An 8,459-nucleotide genomic window follows, 5' to 3' on the forward strand; every position below is an offset into this window, starting at 1 on the left:
TTGTTTGACAGTGTTTTATTGATCATCCTATCATATTTATCTGTTATCACAATATGTTTATAAATTAAAAATTTTTAAAAATTTGGTAAGGCTCTAAGTAGCAATGACACTTTTGTTAATTAAGAATTTATAAAACCAAAGTAAACATATTAAATTATTGCAAAATATTGAAAAATCATTGAAAATTTTTTTGAGACGGGGCCTTGTTCTATTGCTAAGGCTTCAGTGCAGTGATGCAATCATTGCAGCCTTGAGCTCCTGGGCTCTAGTGATCCTCCCATCTCAGCCTCCCAAGTAGCTGGGACTACATGTGTGGCTATTTTTTTTTTTTTTTTTTTTGTGGAGAGGGGATCTTGGTATATATTCCAGGCTGGTCTTGAACTCTTGGCCTTCAGGGATCCTCCCCCGCCTTGGCCTCCCAAAGTGCTGGGATTACAAGTGTGAGCCACTGCACCCAGCCGGAAAGTTTATTTCTTAATGAGAATTGTGTCTCAAGCAATATTTCAAATTATCCCCTGAGATAATATACCATAAGGAGGGAAGCTATAGGTGGGAGGTATGCTTTTCTTTTATAAAATGGGGAAAAAAAACTACTTAAAGAAGAATGGGGCTGGGAAAGGAAAATCCAGTAGATAAAACTGCAGGTGCATTTCTGGCTGATTTTTAAGAAATAATATACTGTATGTGGAAGCCGATATTAGATCGGGAAAATTCAGTTTTTAAAAAGTTTCTATGCCCACATTTCCCTCTGGAGTAATTATTTTGAATTCCCAAGTGTCAGCAGCCCCTCCTGGAAGACCTAGAAAATAACTCTTCCATATATCTTGATAGAATATTGATGAATGGGAACAACTTGAAAAAGAAAACCACTTTCTAGCTCTCCATCCTTTTCTAGGTGAAGAGTGCTGTGTCTGAACAAGAGCAATGTCAGTCAGAGTGTGCTGTAGTGGAAAGACCCTAGGTTTTAGGGGCTGGTATTGTTACTCATTAGTTACTAAGCTGCCAGTTTTGTCATCAGTGAAATTGAGACAATCTATTAATATGTTATAGAGTTGCTATAAAGAGTCAGTGAATAATATAAAGTACTTGGACCGTAAAACACATAGTAAGTGCTCCATAAACAATATTTTAAAACATGTAAATACGTGTGCAGTATTTACTTTGTTAAGAGATAAACTTAGGATTGGGCGGGGGGTGGGGGAGGAGCCAAGATGGCGGAATAGGAACAGCTCTGGTCTACAGCTCCCAGCCTGAGCGACGCAGAAGACGGGTGATTTCTGCATTTCCATCTGAGGTACCGGGTTCATCTCACTAGGGAGTGCCAGACAGTGGGCGCAGGTCAGTGGGTGCACGCACCATGCACGAGCCAAAGCAGCGCGAGGCATTGCCTCACTCGGGAAGCGCAAGGGGTCAGGGAGTTCCCTTTCCTAATCAAAGAAAGGGATGATGGACGGCACCTGGAAAATCGGGAAAATCGGGTCACTCCCACCTGAATACTGCGCTTTTCCGACGGGCTTAAAAAATGGCGCACCACAAGATTATATCCCCCACCTGGCTCAGAGGGTCCTACCCCACGGAGTCTCGCTGATTGCTAGCACAGCAGTCTGAGATCAAACTGCAAGGCGGCAGCGAGGCTGGGGGAGGGGCGCCCGCCATTGCCCAGGCTTGCTTAGGTAAACAAAGCAGCCGGGAAGCTCGAACTGGGTGGAGCCCACCACAGCTCAAGGAGGCCTGCCTGCCTCTGTAGGCTCCACCTCTGGGGGCAGGGCACAGACAAACAAAAAGACAGCAGTAACCTCTGCAGACTTAAATGTCCCTGTCTGACAGCTTTGAAGAGAGCAGTGGTTCTCCCAGCATGCAGCTGGAGATCTGAGAACGGGCAGACTGCCTCCTCAAGTGGGTCCCTGACCCCTGACCCGCGAGCAGCCTAACTGGGAGGCACCCTCCAGCAGGGGCACACTGACACCTCACACTGCAGGGTACTCCAACAGACCTGCAGCTGAGGGTCCTGTCTGTTAGAAGGAAAACTAACAAACAGAAAGGACATCCACACCAAAAACCCATCTGTACGTCACCATCATCAAAGACCAAAAGTAGATAAAACCACAAAGATGGGGAAAAAACAGAACAGAAAAACGGGAAACTCTAAAAATCAGAGCGCCTCTCCTCCTCCAAAGGAATGCAGCTCCTCACCAGCAATGGAACAAAGCTGGACAGAGAATGACTTTGAAGAGCTGAGAGAAGAAGGCTTCAGATGATCAAATTACTCTGAGCTACGGGAGGACATTCAAACCAAAGGCAAAGAAGTCGAAAACTTTGAAAAAAATATAGAAGAATGTACAACTATAATAACCAATACAGAGAAGTGCTTAAAGGAGCTGATGGAGCTGAAAACCAAGGCTCGAGAACTACGTGAAGAATGCAGAAGCCTCAGGAGCCGATGTGATCAAGTGGAAGAAAGGGTATCAGCAATGGAAGATGAAATGAATGAAATGAAGGGAGAAGGAAAGTTTAGAGAAAAAAGAATAAAAAGAAACGAGCAAAGCCTCCAAGAAATATGGGACTATGTGAAAAGACCAAATCTACGTCTGATTGGTGTACCAGAAAGTGATGGGGAGAATGGAACCAAGTTGGAAAACACTCTGCAGGATATCATCCAGGAGAATTTCCCCAATCTAGCAAGGCAGGCCAACGTTCAGATTCAGGAAATACAGAGAACGCCACAAAGATACTCCTCGAGAAGAGCAACTCCAAGACACATAATTGTCAGATTCACCAAAGTTGAAATGAAGGAAAAAATGTTAAGGGCAGCCAGAGAGAAAGGTCGGGTTACCCTCAAAGGGAAGCCCATCAGACTAACAGTGGATCTCTCGGCAGAAACCCTACAAGCCAGAAGAGAGTGGGGGCCAATATTCAACATTCTTAAAGAAAAGAATTTTCAACCCAGAATTTCATATCCAGCCAAACTAAGCTTCATAAGTGAAGGAGAAATAAAATACTTTACAGACAAGCAAATGCTGAGAGATTTTGTCACCACCAGGCCTGCCCTAAAAGAGCTCCTGAAGGAAGCGCTAAACATGGAAAGGAACAACCGGTACCAGCCGCTGCAAAATCATGCCAAAATGTAAAGACCATCGAGACTAGGAAGAAACTGCATCAACTAACGAGCAAAATAACCAGCTAACATCATAATGACAGGATCAAATTCACACATAACACTATTAACTTTAAATGTAAATGGACTAAATGCTCCAATTAAAAGACACAGACTGGCAAATTGGATAAAGAGTCAAGAACCATCAGTGTGCTGTATTCAGGAAACCCATCTCATGTGCAGAGACACACATAGGCTCAAAATAAAAGGATGGAGGAAGACCTACCAAGCAAATGGAAAACAAAAAAAGGCAGGGGTTGCAATCCTAGTCTCTGATAAAACAGACTTTAAACCAAGAGACAAACTTAGGCACATTAAATTTTTTAAAGAGTTTATTTGAGCAAACAGCGATTCATAAATCCGCCAGTGCCAGATCACTAGCAATTCAGGGCTCCACAGAGGTGCTGTGAAGGGAAAATTGTATAAGATGTTCTGGCAAGCAAGACAGAGAAAATATTTGATTAAAGTGGAAAGTCCCTAGTTAGAGGTTTCTGGCAGTTTCTGATTGGTTAACCCTGTTTTGCTGTCCTAGGCTGTGACCCTTCACTTTGAGTTGGGTTTCACTTTGCTGATGTAGGTACTCAAGGTTCTGGAGCTGTCTCAGGCTAATGGCCTCCCAATTAATTTTTGTAAAACAACTTTCAGCAAAATTCTTCAGAGGGAGGATGGGTTCAAAAATGCCCCAAGATTCATCTTGGCTACACACAGAGTGGTAACCAGTATTTACCTCCTTACTCAGGGATCATCTCACTTGTCATTTTGCAAGAGAAGAGGAAGAAAGAATAACCTGCTACTCTTCTAAACTCTACTTGGAAAATTGCAGGAATTTTATCAGCCATCCGTGAGCACAAGAAGATATAAGCAAAAGCCACACAGAGAGAAGACCTGTTCTAGACTCTTATCAGCCAAACACAATGCCCAAGAAACAGCTAGAAGGTTTCATTTAACCAGAGAAGAGCTCCTGCTTTGAAATGTTTTCAAAGTTTCCATGACAAAATATTCTTTCACAGTCTCTGCTTCAGTGAGCTGCTTTGTATTTCTAGCGCAGCTAAGCAATTAAAAGAAGATGAATAGATGTATTCCGGCATGTGTGATAACAAATGGCATACTTAAGGTGACAAGGTTTTCTGTGTTAACTGGCTTTGCAGTCACTTGCAAGTTTTTGAAAAATACTCCCTTTTATCGGAAGTTTTTCCCTTCTTAATCTCAGCTTAAAGGCTATTTTTTCTCAAAGCAAATTGGAGGAGGACTTTTGAAGTCATCTTTGATGGGACAAAATATATGTACATATTCTCTCTGTGCAAAGGAATTGCTGCTTTTCTTATGACAGCTTAAAATTGATAAAGTTTTAAGCATCAAGACATTCACCATTACAAAAGATGCTCATGTGTCTATGAATGATGAGACTTCCACAGGAAACCAAGGTGGTCCATTTAAATTGCTACTCTATGGCTCCTGTTGGCAGTAATGTTCATGTAAACTGGAGAGGCTCTCCAAAGATCTTGAACTCAGGACATTTTTGGATCTAGACTATTCTTAGGGACAGGAAATAATGGGAATTTAGATACCATTTTGATTGCAAGTTGATGGAAAGTTGGCATGTAAGCCTTTTAAATTTAATCTTCAGTTCTCATTAAGTCTGTTTTATTTTCTCTTTTTTTTGTGTTTTTGTTTTGAAAATTAACCTACCCTGGACTTCAGTTAGGATCTCTCTAGTTATATGAACTTATGTTTATTAAATCTGATCATTAGAATCCTAGGAAATACTACCCTCCTGCTTGGCTTACGTACTATTTTGTAGCTTCAGAAAACAGGCCATGTGGTGTAAGGTAATATATATCAACTTGGAGGAAAACAAACCTGGATTCAGATTCTGACTCTGCCACTTTTGACTCTGTGACCTTCAGCAAGTTACTTGACCTCATTTAGCTGGCAGTTACAGATGTAAAAATGAGGACACGGGATTGACCACATTCTCTAAGGGTGGTAATACGGCCCAGTGGTTAAAAACTTATCTTTGTGATCAGGTAGACCTGGATTTGATCAACCTCTTCCATTTCATAACTGTGAAATCTTGAGAATTTTATTTAATCTTTATAGGCTTGCTTATTATCTCAAACAAATTAAATTTTAAAGTGAAAGTAACTACCTTATAGGATTGCTGTGCTGGTAAACTCGTAAGGTTGCTTAGAGGGTTGCTTTTAATCCTTGGAGGATTAAAAGTCATATGCAAGTGCCTGATAAAGACCAGTTCATATTGGCTGAGATCTCTTACCCTAAAAATATTATGTACCATTCTAAGGTCCTTGATAAAGATTCAAATCATAGAACATTGAATGGGTTTCAGATTACCTAATCTAAATTTCTGATTTTATACATAAAAAACACTCCATGGAGAGACTAAGTGAAATGCTCCAAATCCCACGCCAATATCTCACACTTGAGTCTTTACTATAACAGTAAGTATACGTGGCACATTCAACAAATATGCTGTTCATTCCAAGAAATTCCATATAGAGTATTTCACCTCCAAATCAGTGAACTCACCAAAACATTCTTCTTGTATGGGAACAAAGAGGTCCTTGTGATCACAATATTCTCCTTCCTACCTAAAATAGCAAACTTTCCATGAGTAACCAATGAAATAGACAAAAAGAAGAGTTAAGACATTTAGCAAGACAGAGTGCTTTGTCTAGTCTGAATCCACCTCTGCCTTTCAGTAAGTGAAAAAAAAGTATCCGCAGACCACTCATCAGAGGTGTGGTGAAATTTTTATGTTGAATGCTTACATTTTGTATTCCAATTTTCATCCCCTCCACAGAAAATGTTTCCAATCTTCTCTATCCATAATTCTTTGATGAATTATTTTCGTTGTACTTTCCTGGGAACATTTTGTCCCTTGGTTCCATTTTAGACACTTCACTTCATTAGGCTAAACTAGTTTCCAATTGGAGAAAAGAGAAAATGTGAAAATTCAACCATAAAAACAAATACATATTACATAATTTTTACCTGGTGAAGTTACCTTGCTGAGTGTTTTGGCTAACTGGTGCCTTTAGATACAGTCAATCTTACTATCTGGTATACCTTTTGAAGAGGTTAGAGCATGTCCCAGCTCTTTAAAACTCTGAAGTGGGAACATTAAATGACAGAGTGCCTTCTAGTATGGATATGGCCTGCATGGCAAACACATCTTGCTATTTCACAGTTCCTTGCACAGTGTCTTTTAAAGATATCCCCTGTCTTCATTCTCCTCACTTTCCACCCTCTCCTTCTACAGTGGAAAAGAACCTTATGCAAAGGCATAGAGAACAAATACTGTATTGGATTTATCTACAAAGCATGTTGAGGCTGGAGCCGTAATGTTTACCCATATTCTACAATCTCCATCTGAGTAAATAAAGTGGCATCGAGGGATAGGCTGCTCTACAGATAACGAGTTTTAAACTCATTCACCCTGAGAAATTTCAATTGATATAGTTTGCCTATTAAATGGATTTAAAATTGTATTGTCACTACACTGCTTTCTATGGCGATTTCTGCAGCTCCGTGGTTCCATGCCTCAATAGATGGTTTGATTGTATATATCTGCTGCTTTCTTCCTATGATTCTGTTCATAATGGTCTGTAATGTACGACCCTGCTATCCAGTTATAAAGCTGAACATAACCCCTTCTGTGCTTTTAACTAAGGAACTTATCTGTTTCTAGTGCTATTTTCCAAGAGTAAAAGTGGATATCCTTTTTGCTGAGGACTTTTTCTCTCTCTCTCTTTCTTTCTTTCTCTCTCTCCCTCTCTTTCTTTTTTCCCTTCCTCCTTCCCTCCCTCCCTTCCATTTTTTTCTTTGATCTATGTCTCTTTCTTCGACAATGGGCTTGATGAATATTTCTGCTGAATTTTCGTGAAAAGAAGATAAGTTATCAATGCATTTTCTACTTGTTAATGGCTTCAGTGGCCCATCATTTATTATCTGAGTGCTGTGTGCCCTGAATAGATGGTGGAGAAGATGAGGCAGCCTTTTACTTGGCAATCTGCCCCCCAACTGTCAGGGAATAGCCTTGGATCTTTTATTGAAATCAAGGACTGTCCTGTGCTTCATGCTTCACTGGTTCCAGGAATGAGTCTGGGATTATATCCTGTCCCTCTGGAAACACAATCAGCTACATTTCCCTCAAATGCCTAGGTTTCACTTTCAGGCTCAATTATCTATAAAAAGAACTTCTACAGCAAAGAGATTTCACCATAGAGAAATGATATTAAGTCAAATGGAATATTTAAAAAACCATATTCCAAACTGTCTCTGATAACGTAATATTAACTGAAGTCTGCAGTTGCAGAATAAAAGTAAAACAAAAACAAACCTGAATTCTGATGCTTTCTCAAAGGATAGATTGTTAAACTGCCTTGCTCGAGTTAGCCCCAGCGTTCTCTCTACAAAATCATCCGTTTAACCACTCTCTCTGACTAAAATTCTTAAAAAATCAATATCAGCATTATCCATTTATTAAATTTGATGTTGACTCAAAATGACGAGGTGTAGAACATCATTGAATTTTAAACTGACCTTGACATGTAGAAGAAATGGGCAGCTATAAACAGGGTGAACTGGCTTAATGTAGAGAGAAGGTGAGAGAGAAAGACTATGCATGCATATACCAGCAGGGCAGAACAGCTGGTACATACACAGTAGAAAACAGGTCAGGAGACATAGGAGTCACTTCATTCCAGATTTGCCTTAAATGTTACCTCCTTAGAGAAAGCTTCTCTTTGACTACCCTATTAAATATAGAACCCTAAGTCACTCTCCATCCCTTAACTCAGCTTTATTTTTCACCATATATATATATATAATCAAATATATTAAAATACGTGTATTTTTAAAATGTGGTTATTATCTGAATTTTTCCATTAGAATACAAGCTCAATGAAGGCAATAGCTTTGTTTAGTTCACTGCTGTAGCCTCCACACTTTGAGTAGCACCTGGCATTACATAAGCATTTGTTGAAGCGATTAACAAAAAACGAATATTATAAATTGATTATGTTTCCTTGCAGCTGGATGGCTTAGCCTGAAGTATGGATTGCTAGTAATTCCTCCAGTCACTCAACATTTTTTAGGTTTTATATAAGAACTTTACTCTGGCACACAATGGTGTAATGTTAGAAACTTGGCACAGATCTTGTAAACATGGTCGAAAACTAGGTATTCTTCAGCATTTGCATGAATTTCCTATGGGGTCTATTACATTTAGACAAATTAAGGTGGATTATCTTAGGGAAATATTTCCTATATTTCCTCTTAGGGA

General features: G+C 39.8%; 2 annotated features.

Moving 5' to 3' along the window:
- Nucleotides 940-1,571: an enhancer, noted in NCBI's record as "NANOG-H3K27ac-H3K4me1 hESC enhancer chr7:8391097-8391728 (GRCh37/hg19 assembly coordinates)". NCBI's record gives its function as "activates a minimal SCP1, AML or CMV promoter by ChIP-STARR-seq in naive H9 embryonic stem cells {active_cell/tissue: H9 hESC(naive)}" and the evidence as "EXISTENCE:reporter gene assay evidence [ECO:0000049][PMID:30033119]".
- Nucleotides 1,572-2,201: an enhancer, noted in NCBI's record as "NANOG-H3K27ac-H3K4me1 hESC enhancer chr7:8391729-8392358 (GRCh37/hg19 assembly coordinates)". NCBI's record gives its function as "activates a minimal SCP1, AML or CMV promoter by ChIP-STARR-seq in naive H9 embryonic stem cells {active_cell/tissue: H9 hESC(naive)}" and the evidence as "EXISTENCE:reporter gene assay evidence [ECO:0000049][PMID:30033119]".

This window comes from Homo sapiens, chromosome 7 (genome assembly GCF_000001405.40).
Source record: "Homo sapiens chromosome 7, GRCh38.p14 Primary Assembly".
Lineage (NCBI taxonomy): Eukaryota > Metazoa > Chordata > Mammalia > Primates > Hominidae > Homo > Homo sapiens.